The sequence below is a fragment of the Homo sapiens genome, chromosome 15 (genome assembly GCF_000001405.40).
Source record: "Homo sapiens chromosome 15, GRCh38.p14 Primary Assembly".
NCBI classification, from domain to species: Eukaryota; Metazoa; Chordata; class Mammalia; order Primates; family Hominidae; genus Homo; species Homo sapiens.
Window position 1 is genome coordinate 97,491,826 of NC_000015.10, and position 24,561 is coordinate 97,516,386.

Consider the following 24,561-nt stretch of genomic DNA (forward strand, 5'->3'; position numbering starts at 1 on the left):
AAAATAACTGGGGTGTCTGAGGTCATTTTCCTGACAGTTTGCAAATCACTTGAACCTGCTGTTATCATTTAAACAGCAGCAGTGGGAAATCGTGCACATTCAAAGCAACACTGCATTCATGACAGGAAAAGATTTTCAAACGTGAGAAGGCATCTTACCAAGTAAAGATGCCATAGCACTCTTGGGTCACCTTGGACAAAATGCACTTTTCCTACACCAAACATTGGGTAAATTGTCAGTAAATTCAAGTCATGCAGGCACAGAGGTGAAGAATCCTAGAGCTAGAAAGATTTTTCTAGAAACAATCATCTTGAAATCATCTACTCTTTCATGATCTCACAGGGAAGACCCCAAGGCCAGATTTCCTGGAGAAGATCCAGTCTAGAGCCCAGCTCTCCTAACTCCAGGCCTGATCAGGCTCACTCCCGAGAGTCAAAGGCTGCGTATTGTATGGATGCAGAGGATAAAAGTTCAAAGTTTCCAGCTAAATGTCTGGAGAGAGAGAGAGAGAGACAGAGAGAGACAGAGAGACAGAAAGAAACAGAAGTGTTGAAAACCTGTTACATCTATAGACTTAAGTGTGTGTAATTTCATTTCAAACCAACATTGTTTCTCTAACTCACATACCCAAACCCCTGAGTGAAATATATTTCTGCCAAATTTATTTTTACTTCCCAACAGGCCCATTTATGTACAATTAAATTGATTATCCAGCCAATTCTCTTCCATATGAAAGCAGAAAACTGCTTTAGCTGGTGGTTTTCATCTGTTAATTGGATTCTTACTTGCAAAGCCACATCTTACTTTTTATTTTTTATTTTTTGCTTTTTATTTTTCATTTGGTAGAAATATGTGAAAAAGTGATGTGATTGTTTTATTAAAATAACTCATTCTCCTAAAAATAAAGCCTTTTATAATCATTTCTCTTCAATATTTTCTAAATTTCTCAGTTGACAGTGTAAATATAGACTCAAGTAAAGTCATCTGCTATTTGGATTACTAAAAAAGATGTAATTCCATTTTGGACTCCTTCTATATAATGTCAAAGCAACTGATCCAGTCAATCTTTCACTAAAATTTGTCCATTGAATCAAAGAATAATTTGATTTTATAGAGATACAACTGTAATCTTTAAAATTACTACTTGGTGTAATTCCATCGGAATTCTTGACTCCCTTTGGGTGGTATGGGAAGAATAGAAGGGGGAGGTATATTAGAGGCTGAGAGTTTTTAATCTTATCCATTCTCCATTTTTCTGTATTTTTCTTTTACGTATCTGTTATAAAAAAACAAAACAAGCTGTTTCTAATTGGAAATATGACTCTCTGAATAAAGACTACATTTCCAAGCTTTCTTTGAAGCCATATTGAGTTCCCCAGAGAAACAGAACCTAGAGCATACACACACACACACACACACACACACGTACACACACACACACAAATATATACACATATACACATATATAGGTACATACACACATATATACACACACATACATACATGTGTATATATGTGTATATACATATACCTGTACACAAATACACATACATACCTATAGGATATATATTTATATCTACCTATCTACATATGGAGAGAGAGATTTATTATAAGGAATTGGCTCACAGGATTATGGAAACTGAAATGCCTGATGATCTACCATCTGCAAGCAGAAGATCTAGAAAAGCTGGTGTTATAGATCCAGTCTTGGGTCAAAGGCCTGAGAAACAGGAGAACTGAGTATAAATTCTAGTCCAAGACCAAAAGCCTGAAAACCAGAAAGCCAATGATGTAAGTCCCAGTTTGACGGCAGGAGAAGACCAGCATCCCAGCTCGTGTACCCAGGCAGAGAGAGTGAATTCTCCTTTCCTCCGCATTTTTGTTCTGTTCAGGGCCTCAGTGGTTGGATGCTGCCCCTCCCATTGGAGAGGGTCATCTGCTTTACTCAATCTGCCAGTTCAAGTGCCAGTTGCTTCCTGAAACACCATCACATACACACCCAGAAATAATGTTTAACCCAATATGTGGGCACTCCATGATCCAGTCAAGTTAATGCATAAAATTAACCATCACAGAAGTCTTGTTAGTAAGACTTGCCCAGTGAGATACAAGTGGACACATTGAGTCTGGATTCTAAGGAGTGTCCCTGGAGCAAGGGTATATGGTCATCCCCCAACTCTTTCCCTTCAAATATAACTGTGATAGAGAGGCCTGGAGAGCTATATTAGGACATGAGTTGGTGATCACAGAACCATCTTAGTAGCCCTGGACTGCCTATATTTTCAGAAGATAAAAATATAAATTTCTATATGGTCTAAGCTATTGTTACTTTAGGTGTTCAGCTACTTGCAGTTTAATGTAGTACTAACTCTTTTATGAAAGAAAAAGAGAAGAAGGTCAGGAGAGAAAAATACATGAATGTATAGTGAACATTTACTATTGCTTTAAGTGGGTTATTGGAATTAATGATCACAGCAAACAATATGATACTATGATTACCATATTAAGAAGGAAGAAACTAACATTCAGAAAGGTTAAATGCCTTTTCTGAATTTATATAACTAGGACATGACCGAGTTTAGTTTTGACCAAGTTCACTAACTCCAAACCATTATCTATCTCATCTAGATGGGATAGCATTGCCTACTGGAACTCTATTAAAAGTTGGTTTTTACCAAGGTGGAGGGCAGAATCATTTCACAGCGCCCAGAGTCCAAAATGTATTATACCAGTGTTTAGTGTCATCAAAAGCCTAAAAAGAAGTGAAGCTTCTTATTATAAAATATTTTTACTCCTTGAGAAATTTATTTTACACACCAATAAAAATGTATACCATGTTAATTAAAAATACTAATTTCTATATTAATAAACGTCTTTTATTTCAATATCTTTTGGGGAATAAATCGAGTGAAATTTGGAAATTTCTTCTGTACGAATTACATGTAAGAATTTGTCATCTAATTACTGCATCAAAGTGACTGATTTGTGATTGTCAGATCATTGCCTTTACCTTCTTTTTAGCTTAGAAAAGATGCTTATGTTCAGAGACTTGGTTTAGGAATATTTCAAATATTTTACTTTATAGTGTAGGGATTTGCCAAGGTTTATTTTAGGTCCTTACTTTCTCTCAAGCCTTTAAAGATGACTCCTTTCCATTCGAGAGGTCTCGTCTGAATTGTCCAGCACTATTAACATACTATAATAAGAGGCTTTGACTTCATTGGGTTACAAGAGAACACGATGTATTCCAAAAGGAGCCTTCAGAAGATAGTGATACAGAGGGATACAGGATATACAGGTTATCTTCTGACCCACTTGCCTTTCCATTGATGTTCAGATACTTGGCTTTATGCCTTGGTGCTTTGACACACAAGCATCCAATTATTTTCAATTTAGATGTAGTTGTCAGCACCTTTGCTTTTCAACTCTGATCATGGGTTTCCTAAGTTTCAAAAGGAAAGTAATGTTGAAAAGAATAAGGAGAGGTTTGCAGATGTCCCTTCTTCTTCCACAAATTATAGTAGCATAAATTCTGACCACAAGGTTGAGGGGAAAGAAAGTTCACCATAGAAGCATAGCAAAGGTGCTATAGGTTCATAGAGAATGAGACAGACAATGATGTCATCCTCAGTTCCTTCCTCTCCCTGATTTTACACACCTCTCTACCATCCAACCTTGAGGCTTCATCTGAGAAACAGATTTCTAATTTCTTTTTTACTCACCAATGCCTCAGTCTTAGTCTAGAAACTTCAATAGTAAAAATGCTTAATTTTGGTGGTCAGTCCAGTGAGTGGGCACAAGATAGCCAATATTGGTTTGTGTTAGTCATTCATGTCTAGCATCTGTCTATTGCCTGGCTGAATGAAATGATAGGTTCAGTTTTGCAGGGTACGGTATGAAAAAGTATTTATTTCAAGTTATCATACTTAAGTTTATTCAAGGAATAGTTCAGATTTTATTGAAACCTGTGCTTTAATGGTCCAATTAGCAAAAATTGTAATATTTTCACACGAGTGAATTGAATACCACGGTGTTGCATCTTATGAGTCTTCCCCAAGGAGTCCTGGAAAGTTCAAGTATGCTGTAGGGAGAGATTTAGTAGTCCTCTACAGAATTGTGTTACCATCTCAAAAATGCTCTTTGATTTAGAACTGGCAGTTCAAGTGTGACTATAAATTGTAGAGTAAATCATGATGGGGAAGGGGAATAAATATTATACCTGAGGGTTTGCAAGACACTCTCTAGACAGTAGAAAGCTTTAAATCAGCTAGTCTTGCTTATTTTCTCTTCTCTATAGAACGTTAGCAAAAATCATGAAGTTATGATGGAGCATAGCTAAATGACTTGATGGCAATATCCACATGGCTATGTAGGAGAACTATTTGTTGTATTTATATGAAGTCTTGGATAAGAATTAGAATCTATCACTCCTTCACCAAAAAAAAAAAAATCAATTTAAATGAGTTCAAAGTAAGTAAGATTATTTTAGATAGGCTATTTTCCCAAGCTGTTGAATTGCTAAAAATGCAAATTAATATTTTCCAGTCATTAACACTGGAAGGATGTATTGTGAAAACAAGGTGTTTTAGGTTAAGTTAGAAAGCAGAGGAGGCTGATTACTCCCCTGTGATCATCCCCTATTATGATGCCAGCATCCGCTGTTATGATGCCATAACAGATATTTGTTGCTGCTTCCTGTTGAAAAGCAGGTAACTACAACTAGATTGAACTTGGCAAGTGGAAGCCCACATAGATAAACCTATGCAAAATCACTGTTCTTCTACCCTAGTCACAAGTCCATCAGACAAGGACAGCAGTGGCTGGGGGAAGGACCTGACTGACATATACAGAAGAGACCATCTATTTAAGACAAGCTCCTCTGAAGTGGATGACTTTTCATCATAATTCAAATGGAACATAAGTATCTTTACATATTGTGCCCTGAAGAAGAAACACTTCCTAGGCTTCATTGTTACCTATTTTCCAATCATTTCCTTTTAACGCCCTGACCACACAGCCAGACCTTTAGCTACTTGAAATGAATCAGTGTAGATCTGTATCTCTGGTCACTTCTCTTTGCAGAGAAAAATAAACAAAGAGGTGTACTGCTCAATGTCGCCCACTGCTAAAATATTCCTTTACCACTGCCCTTCAGCACCTCCCCTGAGTAAGGTTACAGTGCTGCAGTTGTCATTGTTTTTGGCTGGTTCCAGCATTTTACGCAGACTCTCTGTAATGAGATCTGAATATTGTTCATACTTACTCACCAGAAACCCCCCATAATGTCATAAGAGAGGTAGAGAGAGAAGGGAATATAGCAGGAGTGGAAGCTTCAGGACATACCAATGTTGAATCCTATATATATCACTTCTGTTTAATGATGGAGTACTGCTGTGCATGGCCAATTTTATGACTGTGTGGATCAGAAAATATGCAGTTTTAAATCAGTAGCCTAGGTCACCTGGCTTGGTAATACTGTCATTCATAGTCAAGTGTTTTATCTCTGCTAGGACCTAGTAATAAACAGGAGCTGTTCCTCAAAAGAAGAGTAAATACACACAGAAGATGGCAAAGTTTTGTTTCAAAATTCTGATGATTTATGTTGCATAGTGAATTGAGGGCGTTCACCTACAAAAGCTGTCAATGGCTCTGTACGACATCCCTTCTGCCAGTGACCCTTCAAAGCACCAATAGAACTGCTTTGTCATATGGGCCAAAATCCCAGAACATTTCACCTGGCAACCTGAACTTGTTAGAGGATTATCTGTTACCCTGGGCCCCACTCAAACTGGTAGTCTTATGGATTACTTGGTAAATGGGTTGGATTAACATGCCCAAATTTGGTATATGTTGCCTCCAAAATCCAAAGAAACTCATTTTTTTTTCCATTGTGCTAAGAGGACCCAAATGCAGCAATTTTCCCTTACCTTGGAAGATATATGTTTATATGCTGAGACCATTAGATTCCTAGAAATTTCACCAAGGAATTAGGACTAAATTTTTGTGGGATGTATTTTCCATGCTCTAGCACACTTGTGCCTTCCTAAGATTTCCAGTATAATTACAACTTTCTGCTTACAAGGTCCAGTCAACATAATGTTATCAATGTAGTGGGCTAATATGGGGTCTTATGTAATACAGATATGATTGAGGTCCTGTGGATTGGATCAGGGGTTAGAAAACTATAAACCATAAACCAAACCTGGCCTGTGACTTGTTTTTATAAGGCTTATGAGTTAAAAATGGTTTTTACATTTTGAAGGGTTTTTTAAAACACAAATAATAATATGGAACAGAGACTATATGGGGACTGCAAGTGTAAAATATTTACTAGCTAGTTCTCTAGTTGCTGGATAATATTACAGAGGGCTAGGTAATTAAAATAAGACGGTGTATAAGTGCATTGTTGTTCCTTCCAGATGGAAGCAAACTGCTTCTAGTAGTCTTCATTAACAGATACAGAGGGAAAAAACACATTTTACAAATCAGTAACCACATACTAGGTACAAGAAGATACATTGATTTGCTCCAGTAAATCAAGAATAACTGCAATTTAAATTATCATTAGATTAAGTCTATGATAATTTCCTAGCTTCTCTAAAATCCATATTTTGTATGCATGGTCAAATAGGCAAATCGAAAGGGAATACAATAGCAATTCACCTCTACATTCTTCAAGTGCTTCATAGCAGTACTGAATCTCTGGAATTCCTCTATAAATAAAATAATAAAATAAAAGCAATATTGCTCTTGGATTACTGTTTTGGTAGGTAGAAGCTGTACTATGGGCTTCCGTAATAGTCCTTACTAGAAAGCTCACTGAAATAATATAAAGATTTGGTGAGTTATTAAATATGCCTGTTTATGTTATTCATTTTGGAACTGAGCAAATAACAAAAGGCCAAGTTGAAGGACCCACTTGGCCTGAATCAAAATTCTGTTAATTAATTGCCTGGTCTCTATAAATCCCTAATATGATGGGTGGACAACAGCAATATCTGAGAACTCCAGAAAGAATTTATGACAGAGCCAGTACCCAGTAATCCATGAAAAGTCTGAATAAGTCCCCTTTCCCAAAGCATAGTTACCCTATTTAAGGGCTAGACGTCCCTTATGGGAATACAAGGAAGAATATTATATAAATTGCTGGCAGACTTGCAGGTTTATCTCTCATGAGGATTGGACTTTGTATCCACTTAAAGGATGCTAGCTGAGGAACCAAGACTTTCAAAATGTGGTGATTTGAGTGAAACTTCTGTTAACAAACCTAAAACTTTGCTGATTACACAAATATGGAAGGTTTTTGAAGACTCCTCATTTATTTCAGTTTTAAAGACACTGCAGTCAATTGGCCTAACAGAAAGATCTCTGAAGGTCAAACCATTCTGATTACTACTCTTGCTCTGTTGCCTATTTAGAATCACCACTTGAACTGTCTCTGGTAGTTGTCTTCCCTTGGCCCCTGTCTCCCGAGCAACCCATCTTCAAGGGTCCAGTTCTATAGCAGCATTTCCCGCTCATAATCTTGACCTAAACAGAACAGCCACCACAGAACTCTTGAAGACAATGCTTCTCTTAGCAGTGTCTCTCTCAACGCACTGAGAAATTTGTAGAGGCAGTGTTCTCTGAACTTTCCAGGGTAGCATAGCAATCTAGCTAGAGTTAAGCGAGGAACGATTACATAGAGTACACAAAGACACCCCTATCATCCTAAGCCTTGAGGAGCCTTCTCTTCAGTATGTAAAGGAGGCTCAGGATTCTTACCTACCTACTAGTAGCCTAATAGTGTTGGCTACTATTTAGTTCAGCCTCTAGTCAAGCAATTGCACAATTGAATAGAGTCGGTCCCACCTCTTGCTCTACTGCATTGAATCCAAACTCTCTACTTATTACATCTCTGTTAGTAAATATTCTCCTGGCCAAGTGAGATGGCTCATATCTGTAATCCCAACACTTCGAGAGGCTGAGGAAGGAGGATCACTTGAGCCTAGGAGCTTGAGACCAGTCTGGGCAACACGGTAAGACCCTGTCTCTAAAAAAAAAAAAAAAAAAAAAAAAAAAAAATTAAAGAAAATTTAGCTGGACATGGTGGTCCTCAACTACTCAGGGTGCTGAGGGAGGAGGATCTCATAAGCCCAGGAATTCAAGGCTGCAGTGAGCTATGATAGCACCACTGCACTCCAGACTGGACAACAGAGTGAGACCCTGTCTCAAATTAAAATAAAATAAAATACAATTTTTTTCTGATTCAATATTATATCCCTTCTAACTTGATCCAACACTTTTATGGGCCAATATCATAACTTGTCTACAGGTTTCTGTTAATCTAAATTGGCAACAACTTACAAGTCTGTTGGTGCATGTACTTATACCTCTAGGTCCTCAGGGACTGGATTATGGTTTCAGGTCCAAAAGCAATGAGAGACAGTGGGTAAATCCTGAAGATCATCAGTACCCTGAAGACGGTGACCTAAGTAAAGGTTATTACAGGTTATTCAGGAAAAATCGTCACCTCCTTGGATGGAGACAATATGGCTGCTTCTACTGGCAAAGGAGGCTTGCCAGAATTTAAAGTGTAATGTCTTCAGCTTCACTGGAATTTCCCCACATGTTTCCATCCTAAATTTATAGGTTCTCCCTCTTCCCAATGAATGCCCCAGCTTTAAGTTGAGATTCTTAAAAGTTGTGAATTTAATTTGCATTGTTATTTAGCCACCATCAGGATTAGCTTTGAGGTTTGTTTTTCAGAAATCTTACCATTGTGGCTACGGGGATAAGAGTTTATGTTAGGGCAGCCAGAAAAGCTTCTTAGCCCTTGATCTAGAAAAGAAGCTGAGAATTAAAGCCTGAACTTTTCATTTTCTTTATTCAAGTTATCCTGTGCAACCAAGACCAAGAGACATTATATTCTCTATCATCATTAAAACATTATTTGTTATTAGTTACTTGCCCAAAGCTTTGCCTTCAAAGAACACTTGCCTCCAGCTGACTATAGATGATAATCTAAAGAATGTTTTGCCAATGCATGCCAGGGACTACCAGTGTCCTGTTTATCAGTGACATCAGGTCTTCAATGCTCCTACGTCTAGTCAGATCAGAGAACCAACTCCAACTTTAAGGTTCTTCTTGGAACAATTACTGCATTAGTCATGGTCCCCTCAAGATAGTAGAGCCACTATGAGTTTTAGGAGAATAAGAGATGTGTTATAGAAACTAGACCTTACACAAATGCAGACATAGAAAAATGAAGCTCTAGAAGGGATAGTCAAAGACCAGAGAGTCACTAACAAATTTTCCTGAATTGCTGGCATGAATGAAAGATTAAAGCTTAAAGAGAAATATGAGACTTCAAGCATGTCTAGTATCCAACTGGAACCATGAAGAGGGAGTTCACAAAAGGGTTACATAGAAGTTGTGGTCTCTGTGTAGCTACTGCCTCTGCAGGCTTATGGTAAAACATCTACTGGTGGGCCTATGGTTGCAGTTGGGCCACAAAGCCAGTAGTCAAGAAGATGAGTTGGATATGAAGTGGAGGAGAGAGAGGAAAGCTGGATTCATACCCAGTGGGTGACTTTTCTCTCTTCATCTCCAGGTTGATTGAGACAACCATCTGAGAACAACAGCCACCACTTGACTTCTGCTTCTGCAGCTCAGCAAGTTCCTCTTTGATCCCTATTGTGCTAGCTCAGAACCACACAGGGGAAGTGACACTGGGATGTGCAGAGCAGATCTCAGCCACAGGTCTGCAAATTTCTAGTTGTATGTCCTTACGCAGGGCATTTCATCTTTTTAGCCCTTTCTGCTTCTGTACAATAGGAACAGTATGATGGTTCTGTTCCATGATGTGTAAAAAATAAGATGATGTTTTAATGCAAACTTATTTAAGCATATAAAGGAAAATATTTTTCTTCTACATTAATTGCCTTGTATTAACTACTATACCATGCAAGACCCACCCAGACTACCTAATTCCTAGACGATATTTTATAATAATAGATTGTATGGTATTTAGAGAACCAGCAAAGAAAATAGATAGATAGCCTTTGAAGCTAGATCTGGGTATGAATGTTGACTCAGAAACTTACTAGTCATATATCCTTGAGCAAGTTGCTACACCTCTCTGATCCTCTGCTTTTTAAAGGGAGGATAATGGAAATTGGATAACAACACCTGCTCTTTAGAACTATTCTAGGGATTAGAAATAATATACTGGCCATTTACCCATAGTTACCACTTAATAAATGTTTGTCATTATTTCCATTATTATCATTCAGACTGCAAAATACCCAGTGCAAGAATTAAACTCACTCCTACAACAGTTACCTGAGCACTTAGAAAATAAATTAAAGTTGTCCATGTGTGTCCATAGACAGGCACTGTCCTCAGAGGATTTATGGCTTATTCACCTAGCTTTGTTTTGTTTTAATTTCCAGGGCCTGGTACAGGACGTGACTCATACTAGGCCCTCAGTAACAATCAGGACTCTGGGAACTTTGGCATGTACACATAAGCTGCCATTTTCCCCGCTCTAAAGTAAACCCATCAGAGATCTTGAAAAATCTGCATTTTTCTCTTTAGAATTCTCATGTAAGATGTGAAAGATCTGATCTACAAGACTTAGAAATGGACAAAGAATTGCACACATGCACACACAAAAATCAGTGCTGGGTAGCCTGGCTCTGCAAATGGCAAAGAAGAGTGCTCACTTGTCAGTAATCATTGTTTTACATACCTTAATTCTGGAAAGGGCACTATCCCCCTGAAAGTATGCACAGGTTAGAAGACCATTCCTTTACAAAAAACCAAACACCGCATGTTCTCACTCATAGAGATGGGAATTGAACAATGAGAACACATGGACACAGGAAGGGGAACATCACACTTTGGGGACCGTTGTGGGGTGGAGGGAGCGGGGAGGGATAGCATTGCTAAATGACGAGTTAATGGGTGCAGCACACCAACATGGCACATGTATACATATGTAACAAACCTGCACATTGTGCACATGTACCCTAAAACTTAAAGTATAATAATAATAAAATTAAAAAAAAGAAGACCATTCCTTTAACTAACCAGTATCAAGTCAATTAGCTGTTAATTCATGAACATATGATTGAGCATGTCCGTGGATCACCTGGATTATGGAATGAGAGTAAAAAAGAGATCTTTGGGATCAAGGCTATGAAATTGATTCTCCTTTTAATCACAATGAGTTCCTGGGAAACATATCACAAATATTGAAAGGCATAGAAATTATTATTCTTTACTTGTTCTTGTAAAGTTTACAAGAAATGTTTTTCAAAAGCATAGTATATTCCCTCCTAAGTATCATTCAGTCTAGTAATGCATTTTACCCAATATACCTCTGAGAGTACAAAGGGTTGTGATAAGGTTGTGCTTATAGGCTATGGCAGGCCATTGATTGGATTTCTACTTAAAGTTTTTCTTTTTAAGATTCTATCTAAAGTTGAAGACTTTTATAAAGATTAGCCTTGTAAATGTTGCTGTATATTTTCTGTGATGGTATTGTTAAAGATACTATTGATTATATTATATTTCTATTTACTTAGAGACAAAATCCAAAATATGAATTTTGAAATTCTTATATCTGGATATAAATACTGACATGAATAGCAATTATATTTTCTTCCTATAGAGTGTTCTGTTAATGAAGCACTTTCCAATTTACCTACATCAGTACATTTAATTTTTCAGTAACATTTTAACAACAGTTGTATTATCTGTATTTTAGCTAACACTATGACCAGAAAGAATAAATTTCCGAAGAAAATTTAATTTACTAAAATTCCAATTAGTAAGTAGAAGAGGCAAATGACCATCCACATGGTCTGATCTCAAGGATATTTATGGGCCATCCTAGTGTTCCACTTTTAAAACCAGTGTAGTCATCGCTCAAAACAAAATCTTTGTCTTCCTTAACATTTAAGTCAGAAACCAAACTGAAACATGAAAAATGTAGATGTGAGTTGGAAGTTGGCCCTTGTTCATTCTGTTATCGTTCTCCCGGTGCTGTTAGCCTCCATTGCTCTGAGTAGGGTGCTGGAAAATAATATAAAAGTTTGTGTCTCCAACAGGCAGAAGTGCATTCTCTTTTACTTGTTCAATTAAATGATTTGACCTAGAGGCAACAAACAGGTTAAGTTTTTGGCTTTCAAAATTGGCCATGATTTTTCTTTCTATTAGGAATATTATGAGCTGCTGAAATTCCATGTAATGGATGTAAAAGTCAACAAAAAACAAAAAAAGTCCTTAACTAGCAAAGACTCTGTTTCCTGCCAAAGCAAACACTATCCCTAAAGCATCATTGAAAGGCGTTCTTATCAGAAACAGGCCAGACATATATAAAATCTAATTACGGAAGAAATATATTCTAGAGAAAAGAAATTGTGACACTGGTGAGTCATAGCCTCATGATATAGATGGGAAATGACAGTGACTCATAGCTGTTGGTATCCCGTGCTTCAAACTGGTTTTAGCTTGACTGGCCCCCACATTTGAAACATCTGCACATGACTAGAAGTCTCAATCTGCTTAAATTTCAATACGTCAGAAAACTAAATCCACCTCTACTTTGTCTTCCACCTCTATGGTTAGTTCTTCATAGTGTTCAGAAAGTTCATTTAAAAATAAAGCTAAATTTAGGTCATTCATCTGCTTACAATCTAGGAACACATCCCAAAGTCTTCCACATCCAAACATACTCTACCCTATGGGGTCCTGCCTTCTCTGACTTCACATATTATTCTCCCTACAGCACACTGCATTCTAGCTCATGGCCTTCTCTCTGGTCGGAAATAAACCAAGCTTGTTTCTATCCCATGGACTGTGTGCTGAATCCTTCCTCTGACAGGAATGCTCTCCCGCCTTCTTCCACCCCCTTTTTTTTTCTTCTTGTATTTCATTCTCAGGTTAATGTCACCTTGCCAGGGAAAACTTCTCTCATCACTCTATCCAATGTCTCCATTTTCAGAATATATACTGAATTCAAATACTTCTTCTTCTCTCTACTGTCATTTAGCAACAAACTTCTTATCATTTCTTGCTTGGATTATTGCAATAATTTCAAAACTGGATTGCCTTCTTTCAGTCTTGCCCTGCTTCCACAGTTTATAAGTATAACGTCACTGTGATCCTTTTAAAACATCACCGTCTAATTCATGTCATTTTTCCTCTTGATATATTCCAAGTGTACCCCCTGTCACATAGAACAAACATCAAAATTCTTATATTATTCTCCAGGGGCCCGGGTGGCCTGACCCATGACTCTGACATCATCTCCTACCTACATCTCTTGCCTCTGCTCAATACCCTGAAACTAGATTCCTGGCTATTTTTCTCTTTTTTTTTTTTTACATTTTTTAAATTATACTTTAAGTTCTAGGGTACATGTGCACAACGTGCAGGTTTGTTACATATGTATACATGTGCCATGTTGGTGTGCTGCACCCATTAACTCGCCATTTACATTAGGTATATCTCCTAATGCTATCCCTCCTCCCTCCCAACTAACTTCTGCCTCAGGTATTTTGCATTCTTCCCTCGAATAGCTTCACTACCCATTCTCTCACTTTCCCCCAGTCTCTGCCCAAGAAAAAGCTTAGTGAGGGCTTCCTTGATCACCCTCTAAAACACTAATAATCACTCCAGTCCCTATGTCAACACTGCGAATCTCTCTTACTATGCTTGGCTTTTTAACTTTGCACTGATCACTATCTGCCGTATTCTACATTTAGCAACTTATTTAATTACTATTTATTGTCTATCTTTCTGCAGCTAGAATATAAGCTCTATGAGGGCAAGGACTTTGAAGTTTTTGGTGCACTGTTCTCCCCCTGGTTTCTAGAACTGTGTCTAGTACTCCATAGGCACTCAAATATTTGTTGAGTGAATATTGTATGATGGAGTCTTTTTCTCTTTACTAATCTAATCCTCCTCTAGTCATTCATTGCAACAACAAAACTTCCAGCTGAAAATATTCAAAATCTCGTGATAGTCTCTCCTCCTGTAATTGCCTTGAAGTCTTCTTAGCACCCAAGACCTTAGATTCCCTTCCCTTTACCACAACGTCATTGCAAACATTTCCTTAGTATTATTTCTGACTTATAATTCTAGGCCAGCTGGCCTTTACTACTAACTCATTCTGTTGCTATTACATGATTTTATGGACACCCATCAATCCATCTTCTTGTGTACTGTTCGAGTATATTTCTAACCATGTGACTCCTTGGCTTGAGAACCTTAAATTACTCACTACTGAAGGCACTGCTTCTTAAATATTTTATAGTAAAGTAGTAGCTTCTCCCCCAATTTACCTCAGATTGATATTTGTGTAAAACATAATTAAAAATAAATGAAAAATGGGAGCTACAAATGGAGTTCAAGTTTATTGTTAGATTTGGCAGATATAAAATTATACTTTAATTACTATACTCAGGATAAAATAATGGAAAACAAAAGAATTTGAATGGCTTTAGTCACTGAAAATATAAGTACAGACAATATACAGAGAAAATCTTTATTGTACTCATAATTTTCTGTTGTTCTGTAATCAAAAATTAAAAAAAAACTAAAGAAAATAGCTAATCCCCATATTGAATGCTTATAAGTATATTTTGAACCAATACTCATATATGTCCATGTGTAAATCATAATTGTGAAAAATTTGCTTGCTTTTGCTTGTTAACTCATGTAATCTATATTGAATTGTGGCAGCCCTACCTGTGGTTGATAATGTATACCTGAATTGTTTCCAAGTTTTTTTTCTAACAATACTCAAAGGAGAGAAAGCAATCTTACAGTATGTTATGAGACTAGAAGAGGAGATTTTAAAGCAAGCTCAGAAAATTCTTTTATTTTCTTTTATTCATACTGAAGCAAATAATGGTATATTATAAAATTTTATTTTTAATTCTTCATTGGTAGCAAGTTCCAATCTTCTAATGTCCTACATAAATCTGAGTTTTGATTGAAAAGATGAAGCTTGTATCCCTAAATTTCCTATGTGTCATTCAACTTTTGATAGAAAGTAAAAATTTTAAACTGTCCACCAACTTGTAGTTTGTACTATTATGACCTTTTATAAATGTGCAAGATCAAGACCATCAACTTTTTATTAAAAATCATTGTTAAATTATGAAATATGTTAAAACAATCTGTAGAAACTCTGTTCTTACAAGGTTCTAATATTTGCTTTTGCCCTTCAATTTTACCTTCTATTTGCGTGGGAACATTACTATTAATTTAAAATACCAAAGATATGACAGAAACAAGCAGGTCTGGTTGTCCAATTAGCATCTTTTAAAAAGTTGGGTCCAAACTGGTGACTTCTCTTACAGAAACACTAATAATTAATCTTCCAGTTTAGACTTTTGAAACAAAGATTTTTCTCTTCAAAATCTGTACCTCAGCAAAAAAATCATTGTTCATGATCAGTTTCCATATTATCCCATAAAATGAAAACACTTTGAAATGCAATACACTAGGCTTTGTGTAATTCACAATTTTTACCAAGTTACTAAGTCACTGTTTAGTTCAGCTGACATCGTTTTTCATATCAAAACATTCTCAGTGAAGGAAGCAGTTTATTGATTTATTTTCTGGTTCAAGTACCTTAATCTAGGTAACACCTTAATAATGTTTTCCACCTGGGCGTGGTGGCTCATGCCTGTAATCCCAGCACTTTGGGAGGCCAAGGAGGGTGGATCACTTGAGGTCAGAGTTCGAGACGAGCCTGGCCAACATGATGAAACCACATTTCTACTAAAAATATAAAACTTAGCTGTGCGTGGTGGCGCATGCCTATAGTGCCAGCTACTAGAGAGGCTGAGGCACGAGAATCGTTTGAACCCAGTGGGTGGAGGCTGGAGTGAGCCGAGATGGTGCCATTGCACTTCAGCCTGGGCAACAGAGCGAGACCCTGCCTCAAAAAATAAAAAATAATATTTACCTTGCATTGCAGCTGTGCCATCAAATGAATATACTCATATACAAAATAGGCATGTAACCACATTTACTGATATGAATCATGAGCTTGGACATTGAGGCAATATGAACTTACTGTAAAACTTTATGAATAATTATTTTCATTGGCTACTACTTATTTAATCAGAGACTGTTGACCTGGAGTCCAGTTTGCACACACTTGGAGCAGCACTGTTCTCGGCACTATTCACAATAGCAAAGACTTGGAACAAACCCAAATGTCCAACAATGATAGACCGGATTAAGATAATGTGGCACATATACACCATGGAATACTATGAGGCCATAAAAAACGATGAGTTCATGTCCTTTGTAGGGACATGGATGAAGCTGGAAACCATCATTCTCAGCAAACTATGGCAAGGACAAAAAACCAAACACCTCATGTTCTCACTTATAGGTGGGAATTGAACAATGAGAACACATGGACACAGGAAGGGGAACATCACAAACTGGGGCCTGTTGTGGGGTAGGGGGATGGGGGAGGGATAGCATCAGGAGATATACCTAATGCTAAATGACGAGTTAATGGGTGCAGCACACCAACATGGCACATGTATACATACATAACTAACCTGCACGTTGTGCACATGTACCCTAAAACTTAAAGTATAATAATAAAAAATTTAAAAAAGGCCAATTTTGGACCTTCTCTTTTTTCTCACCCAAATACCTTTTCTCCCTCCCTATTCACTCTTTAGTACCTTGCTTCGTGTTTCACCAGGAAAACTGAAACGACAGAAGATAATTTCCGTCTTCCACTATGACATGCACCATTTATCAGTGTCAGCCTCCGTGCTCTCACACTTGGCTTGTTACTCTCACCCAAGACAATCCCTGCACTAGCACTCTAGATACCATCCCCTCTTGCCTACTCAAGAACGTCCCCCCAGCAATTCTCCCCTCTGTCCTACTCCAAATTTTTGCTCTCTATTGGATTTTTTCACATCATATAGAATCTGTTATTTCTCTCATTTGAAAGATCACACACACACAAACATACGCTTATGTCCTTGTCTTCACTTCTTCCTCCAATATTGGCTTCATTTATTTGCTTCTCTTCACAGTAAAAGTGCTTAGAAGAGTTGTCTATATGCATCGCCTTCCATCAATCTCTTGCTACTCTCTTTGAAGACTCTCCAACCAGGCTTTTCACTGCACATCTCCAGAAGAACTGCTCTCACCAAGTTCACCAATGACCGTCATACTGCTAGATTCAGTAGACATTTCTCAGACTTCATCTACTTGGAGGCCCAATTTGCATTATTATTTTTTTGATATGCTTTTCTGTTCATTCTCACTCCCTTGGTTGTCTCGTTCTGGTTCAATGTTTTAATACTCCCTTGTATGTCGATGACTTGTGTTGTTACACCTTGTGTTGTTATCCCTACCCTACTTGCCGCCCCACTATAATGTCTAACTATAATGTCTAACACCCAGACCTGGTATCAGAGTATTGCAACACCATTCATCCTATTGCTCAGGTCAAAAGTTTCCTTTAGATCTTTTTTCTCATATTCCACATCCAATTCCTCAGCAAGTTCTGGGTGTTTTGTGTATAAAGATATCCAGAAAGTATATGTGGATGTACATTCTCACCACTTCTGCCTCAACCATGATGATTCTCACCACATCGACCTCTCACCACATTCTCACCACATTCATCGACCTCAACCATGATGACTGCTCACTTGGGTTACCACAACAACATCCTAAGGTACAACCTCCATGTTTGTACCTTTGCTCTCCTCTGCAGCCCATTATCAATATACATTCAAAATGATTCTTTAAAAATACAAACCAGTTCATATTACTCCTCTTTCCAAAACCCTCAAATATCCCCTTATTTCACTCAGAGTAAAATTCTTGGACCTTAAAATAGATCTCTGCACTGTCTCTTACCTCCCTGACCATGTATTTTCCTTCTCCTCCCCTCAGGTCTCAAGCCCTTGCAGCCTCACCAACCACATACCAGCCATGTCCTCTCTTTGGATAATTTTCTGTTTCCTCCTCCTGAAATGCTTCTCCTTCAAATTGTTGTTGTTGTGTTAATTCTTTTGCTTTCTTCAAGTCTTACCTCAAATATTATCTTCTTAACAAAGCTATTTCGACCAACTGATTAAATATTGCAACTTCTCCTTCCTTCCCAGGCATCCTACTCACAGTTACTATATAAATGTGTATATTTATTATATTTATTATTTATTGTTTGTCTTCACCCAAATAGAATGTAAACTCCCCCAGGGCAAGGATTCTTTCTCTTTTCATTCTGTGACAAATTTCAAGTGCCTAAAATAGGGTCTGTTACATAGTAGAACTCCATGAATATCAGTCGGATTAATAAAGGAACTAATGATGGAGAAGTTATTTCCTTACATGAAACTTATACTTGAAAGGGTCCACGAATTCTCAGAAAAATAATTGAAAGGACCAACAAATTCTTAGAAAAATAAATAGGACAAGACCACACCTAAGATATTAATTGTGAGATTTAAGAACACAAGGGATAATGAGAAAAACATAATTTACCTATGGTTAATTGGATGCCATGGAGAATGGAAAGCTTATCAACCTTGGCAATGTTAAAGTAAAAATAAGAGCATAGATTCTCAGAGGTGAAGGGGCATGGCAAGGGAAAGGTATGAGTTACAAATTAGGGAGTCAAGAAGATAGTAAATAGGGAAAATATAACAGGTAATGAATAAATAAATAAGGCCCAAATACAGCCTATCAATAAATAGTCACTAAAAATATAATTTAAATATATAGCCATGACCTCTGAAAGAACTAACATGGTAAATGACAAGAAAAAGGGCTGCCTTTTGGGGACAGCATCAGGGATGAACCAGCGCTGCCTCATTTTAGACATAGGGACTGATAGGAGCTTTTAAGAGCTGTTGTGCATTTGAACTACCCCTTTAATAGCAGCCGTTATATGAAAGGGGCCTTTGGCACTGCTAGAACCAAAAGAAATGTGAAACTCCTTGACTTGCAAGACTTTCTCTACAATATAATTTAATCACATACCTTAACATACATTTTGTAAATTAGGTTTAACACTATATAATAATTCTTTGAATTACAGGCATTATTCCCTCTTGAGTACATACATCAGTCATTAGCCTCTTCTTTAGCCCCTCTAGAATTATGGGGTGTTAACTATCATCCAAGACATATATTTTACCTCACAGGACTAGGCTCCATTACTGGAATCACCTAGGTGCTTGATAAATGTGTTCCACAAATTAATTTTTTTAATGTTCCATGTTTTTTTTTTTCAAAATTCTCAAAAATTTTCTCTAATTCCTCTATAAAAAAATACACACATGAATATGCATGCATGTGTGCAATCATGTCTCTTATCTTCTCTCCAGCTACACTATCAACCCCATACCTGGGACACCTTCATTTTTATAAGCTGTCTTGCATATAATGCAAGTTGGTAAATATCTGATTACCAAAGGCGTTACGTGAAGTTGATAAATATCTGTTAAGTGAACGGATGATAAATAAATCGGTTGTGTCAGTACCTGACAGTGGACCATTTTCTATGGTTTCTGTTGATAGAAATGTTTATTTGCCTAATGGAGACTGCAAGTGACAAAGGACAATTCCATTTTGATTTAGAAAGTCCATGTTCATAAATTTGAAAAAATGAAATAACCAGGACAGACTTCAGAATAATTTTGCCATAATGATAATAACAATGATAATGGTAATGACAACAATAGCTCCCCATTAGCAAGCAAGCATATACTCTGTGTTAGGCATGGTTCTGAGCTCTGTCATTCAAATCTAACTAATCCATTCAACTCTCACCATCATCTTATGAGGCAGTGAATATTACTGAATGGTCTTCCTCACATTACAAAGGGGGAAGATGTTAAGAAGCTTGACCAAAGTCCCCTAGCTCTGATATGGCAGAGCTACACATTGACTCCAGGCAATCTGACCACACTGAGTGAAATATCAGGCTTTACATAAAATAATCCTGGGAAACTTGTCCTTTTCTTAGCAGATTAATCCTTTATTTTGGACATGTGCATGCTAGGAACTTCCAAATTAATATATCTAATTAAGCTACTCTTTAATAGGAACCTCTAATTGAAAAGGTCCTTTCGCTCTACTGTGACGAATGGAAGTGTGGGTCTGTGGAACTCCAGAAAACAGAGAGCCCCACTCAAAAGCATGATGTTAAGCCCTACTGAGAAAACTACCAGCCCTTAGTGTCAGGGGAATCAACATCATCTTCTACACTCCCTGCAAAATGTGATTTTGAAGAGTCTGCTAACATATTTTTCGCAACACCACAATCCCCATTAATAGAATATTGAAATACCTATTATATACATCTATCTATGATTTTTCTATTAAGATTATCATCTAAAAATCTACCCAAATTACTAGTCAGTGCCTCAAAATTCAGAAATATCTTGCAAAAAATATTAATGGTAAACAAAGAAATAAACCCTATTGGGATAAATAATAAACTCAAATAACTGATGGTTCAAAAAATGTTTCTACATATCCTGTACAATAAAACATATGCTGAAGGATTCAAACACAATCAGAATCCAGTCAATTCAGTGAGAAGAAAAATCAGTTGACAGAGTAAGAGACCCATGAACATATCCAGGTAAAATCATGACATTCAAATGTTAGAAATATTTTTATTTTAATTGTATCTTTTTTCTTTTCTTTTTCCTTCTTCCATTTTCTTATGAATCTCCTCAATCACTAGTCAGAGCTTAGACATTGCCAATACATTTCCAACACTGATCTTTGACAAAACTGACAAAAACAAGCAATGGGGAAAGGATTCCCTATTTAATAAATGGTGCTGGGAAAACTGGCTAGCCATATGCAGAAAACTGGAACTGGACCCCTTCCTTACACCTTATACAAAAATTAACTCAAGATGAATTAAAGACTTAAACGTAAAACCCAAAACCATAAAAACCCTGGAAGAAAACCTAGGCAATACCATTCAGGACACAGGCATGGGCAAAGACTTCATGACTAAAACACCAAAGGAAATTGCAACAAAAGCCAAAATTGACCAATGGGATCTAATTAAACTAAAGAGCTTCTTCAAAGTAAAAGAAACTAGCATCAGAGTGAACAGGCCACCTACAGAATGGGAGAAATTTTTTGTAATCTACCCATCTGACAAAGGGCTAATATCCAGAATATACAAGGAAGTTAAACAAATTTACAAGAAAAAAAAATCAAAAAGTGAGTGAAGAAGAACAGGCACTTCTCAAAAGAAGACACCTACGCAGACAACAAACATATGAAAAGAAACTCATCATCACTGGTCATTAAAGAAATGTAAATCAAAACCGCAATGAGATACCATCTCACACCAGTCAGAATGGCAATTATTAAAAAGTCAGAAAACAACAGCTGCTGGCAAGGCTGTAGAGAAATAGGAACACTTTTACATGGTTGGTGGAGGTGTAAATTAGTTTGGCCATTGTGGAAGACAGTGAGGCAATTCCTCAAGGATCTAGAACCAGAAATACCATTTCACCCAGCAATCTCATTACTGTTATATGCCCAAAGGATTATAAATCATTCCACTATAAAGACACATGCATACGTAAGTTTATCGCAGCACTATTTACAATAGCAAAGAGATGGAACCAACCCAAATACCCATCAATAATAGAATGGCTAAAGAAAATGTGGCATATAAATACTATGGAATATTATGCAGCCATAAAAAATAAGTTCATATCCTTTGCAGGGACATGGATGAAGCTGGAAGCCATCATTCTCAGCAAACTAACACAAGAACAGAAAACCAAACACCACATGTTCTTACTCATAAGTGGGAGTTGAACAATGAGAACACATGGACACAGCAAGGGGAACAAAATATACTGGGACCTGTCCAGGGGTGGGGGGCCAGGGGAGGGAGAACATTAGGACAAATATCTAATGTATGCGGTCTTAAAACCTAGATGACGGGTTGATGGGTGCAGCAAACCACCATGGCATGTGTATACCTATGTAACAAACCTGCACATTCTGCACATGTATCCCAGAACTTAAAGTACAATAAAGAAAGAAAAGAGAGCAATATTAAGGGTCTTTTTATACCTAATGATTCATTACAAGATTACTCAAATCTACAGTCGTGTTCTTGAGCATGAGTTATCTGGTGGCACAGGCCTTCTCAGAGGCCATAAATGTCCATTAACCACTAAACATCAACATTATGATCATTTATGTAAAGTGTCAGAAGTCCATGTTAGTGAAACAGAAGCAAATTCTCTTTTCTTAGTCATACAGTGCAAGTGTTTGTTGAATATCTGGTAGTCTAGGGCTCGTGTGTACTTCCCTTTGAGTTACTGCAGGTGATAGAAACCCTACCTCCCTGTCAGCTCTCAGAACAAATCACCCCAAATTATCCTCATCATTATTTCCATAGCTAGTATGAGAAAATGAGTATAAGAAATAAAAATCTAAACATTTCCTTAAGAAAGGTAGAAACCTCATTAACATCTTCATTTATTTTCCTCATTAACATTGTTTAAGCACCCATCTTTTTTGGAGGTTGAAAAGAGTTAAGATTAGGGCCTTCTAACATGCTAAATGACACAATGCGTGATCATTTTTTTCCGAAAATCAAGAATTTGTTTGTAAGTAAACTGGAACAGGCGACATACATATATTTCCTACACTTGATCTTAGCCAAAATAGCGAGAAGCAATCACACATACGTATTTCCCAAATAAATGTTTACCTCACTGCAAGCCAAAGGTCATAGAAGGTTTGTTTGACATTTCAAAACTAAGCTTAGTTTTATGCACAGTGAGTTCCTATCTATATCAAACACAAATAAATTTCCAGAAAGTGCTTTAAGCATTTTAATAAAAATAATCAAAGAATGGCTCAGAGGTATTAAACACTATTTTGGAGTCTTTCTTAGCAATCATGTTGCTAGATACACACATTTTAACAAATATTTAATACAGTTTTTAAAATACTACCTCTCATTGTAGAGAAAAGATATTTCTGAAGCTTGTTCCTGTATAGCTGTGGATAGCAGAGTTCTAGAGATAGATGCATATACAGTAAGGCTGGAGAACAAGGACTAGGAGTAAGAAACCCTTTCTTCCAGTCCAATTAACCAGCACCTGGCTGCTGAAGCTAGAGCCCCAGCTCTCCTTTGGAGCACTCAGGCCACTTCCTTCCCGCTCAAGACAGGTCAGTGGCCCTGAATCACACAATTTGAGAAGATGATTTATAGCTGCAGCTACTTGACTCTCTGACTTTTTTTGGGGGGACAACTGGCCAAGTCTGCCATTTTTTACTCATCATTGTAAAAACGGACAACCATGGTGCAGTTGCTTTTGTGTATTGGGAGACCAGTACAGAAATTAATCTGAGGTACGACAGGGCATCTTTACCAGTGAAAAACAATACAGGGCGAGGGTGTCCGCACACTTACATTTAAGGGAGCATATCGTAGTGCAAATTGGGTCATCGCAGGAAATATAAAAGCATTATTCCTCTGAGATTTGAAAAAAAAATGTAATTACTTCTTCCACCAAGCATGATTCTTTTCAATAACCTTCATTTTTGTCCCCTGGAAATGAAAAGAGGTTTCTGTTAAAAAGGCATTTCCTCTGACTCTGTGTCCTTGAGCTGCACAAAATGTAAACCATTCCCTCCCTCCTTCTTTTGAAGAAAAAGGGGGCTTCAATCTTTCCTTCTGAACACGGTCCATTTAAATAAGGAGATGGAGTCCCATCTTTTCCATCAGCCCCATTGTTTGACTTGTCAGTAATAACACTTGAGCTGAAATTGTACAGGCGTCCCGCTAATTTAGTAATTATTGACATGGTGCTGAGCAGGAAATGATAGCAAACAGAAGGAATGGTTAAGGAGAAATGAAATAAAAGATGTTCATATCATTGTTGAATAATGGTTGAGATCATTTTGTGTTTTAAGTAGGCCCAAGACACCTTTTCCCATTTTCCTGACACATTTATAATTTATGCTTTGTAATAGTTCCAAATATTTTTAGGACACTGGACTTTGTTTGAGAATCTTACCGGACTGAATGAGAGTCACGCCACACACACACAGAGGAGTGGGCGAGGTGACCTGCTGCAGCCTCCCATTTAGAAGACAGCCCCTTTCTCTCTGGCCTGCCTCTCCTTGTTTTGAAATTTACATTTCTATTTATTGTGTCTCAGCTCTAGCTAAGATTTCTGCTGCCAGGCTAGGCAATGTGACCCATGCGGTTACAGGTGTAGATAGTGTTCATGTGTGTATTTATTTTCAAATCTGGAGGCTCTGCTTAGTCATAAGAATTTCTCTAGTAATAAACATAGATTATCCGGCTCATTTAAAGAAAGTTGCATATTTGTGCATTATTCTAACTGTGCTAGAGCAAAGGACATGTGTGTATGTATCATGTGCATATGTGATGATAAACACTGAAAAAGTTGAGGCAGGACTATACAAATTTGGAAATCATTTGCTGGGAGAATATAAATACTGGCTCTGTGAAAATACAGTGCATCTTTTTCTAATTCAGATATT

The 24,561-nt window shown here is 37.2% G+C and overlaps 1 long non-coding RNA gene across 1 annotated transcript in view; it reads right to left on the reverse strand.

Moving 5' to 3' along the window:
* LINC02254 (long intergenic non-protein coding RNA 2254) overlaps positions 1-24,561 on the reverse strand; it is a 151,441-nt gene that overhangs the window by 121,455 nt on the left and 5,425 nt on the right. Inside the window, exon 2 of the long non-coding RNA NR_120324.1 lies at positions 23,462-23,599. This is a non-coding gene — a long non-coding RNA (long intergenic non-protein coding RNA 2254). The remainder of the gene's footprint in view (positions 1-23,461; positions 23,600-24,561) is intronic.